Raw genomic sequence first — 1,067 nt, 5'->3', positions numbered from 1 at the left:
TTTCAGAGAAAGAGAAACTCTTACTTTTTTTTTTTTTTTTTTTTTTTGTGAGATGAAGTCTGGCTCTGTCGCCCAGGCTGGAGTGCAGTGGCGCAATCTCGGCTCACTGGAAGCTCAGCCTCGTGGGTTCACACCATTCTCCTGCCTCAGCCTCCCGAGTAGCTGGGACTACAGGCATCCGCCACCACGCCCGGCTAATTTTTTTGTATTTTTAGTAGAGACGGAGTTTCACCATGTTAGCCAGGATAGTCTCGATCTTCTGACGTCGTGATCCGCCCACCTCAGCCTCCCAAAGTGCTGGGATTACAGGCTTGAGCCACTGCACCTGGCCAACTGTTACCTCTTGGTGTTTAATTTTATGTCATATATGTTCCATGTTATTGCTCTTACACCTCTTCTGGGTAAAATTTTCTTAGAATATTTATGTTTTCTTGACTTTTACCAGTTTATCATTCATATTTAAGAAGTCTCTTTGTGTATAAAGTTATATAGGACTCTGTGAAACTATGAAAATAACTATGAAAATAAAAGCAGACAGGTATGGTGGCTCAGGCGTGGAAGCTGGCGCCTGTAATTCAGCTACGTGAGAGGCTGAGGCAGGAGAATTACTTGAAGCAGGGAGGTGGAGGTTGCAGTGAGCCGAGATCGCACCACTGCACTCTAGCCTGGGCTAGAGAGCAGGACTCTGTCTTAAAAAGAAAAAGAGAAGAGAGGAGAGGAGAGGAGAGGAGGGGAGGAGAGGGGAAGGGAAGGGAGGGGAGGGGAGGGGAGGGGAGCATACAAGCATCCGGTTCTTTCTTATGCCCCTTCCCCCACAGGTTCGGAAGTGCCTTCTGTATGACTATAAATTTTAAAGGAGATTACTTCTTTCCTTTTTTCTTAGTTGAAGCCAAATCTTTATTTTTTAGTACCCCATTCCTTCTTATTCTACTAATCATGAAGTCTAGTCTAGCTATTTGATTTATTTCTTTATTATAGATAAGAAGATTTCTAAAAAATATTCTTACTGCATGTTTAGGACATCATATTTTAAGTTCTAATTTGTAATTAGCTTTCACATTAGATCC

Source organism: Homo sapiens, chromosome 4 (genome assembly GCF_000001405.40).
Source record: "Homo sapiens chromosome 4, GRCh38.p14 Primary Assembly".
NCBI lineage: Eukaryota > Metazoa > Chordata > Mammalia > Primates > Hominidae > Homo > Homo sapiens.
This window is presented reverse-complemented; position numbering follows the sequence as displayed.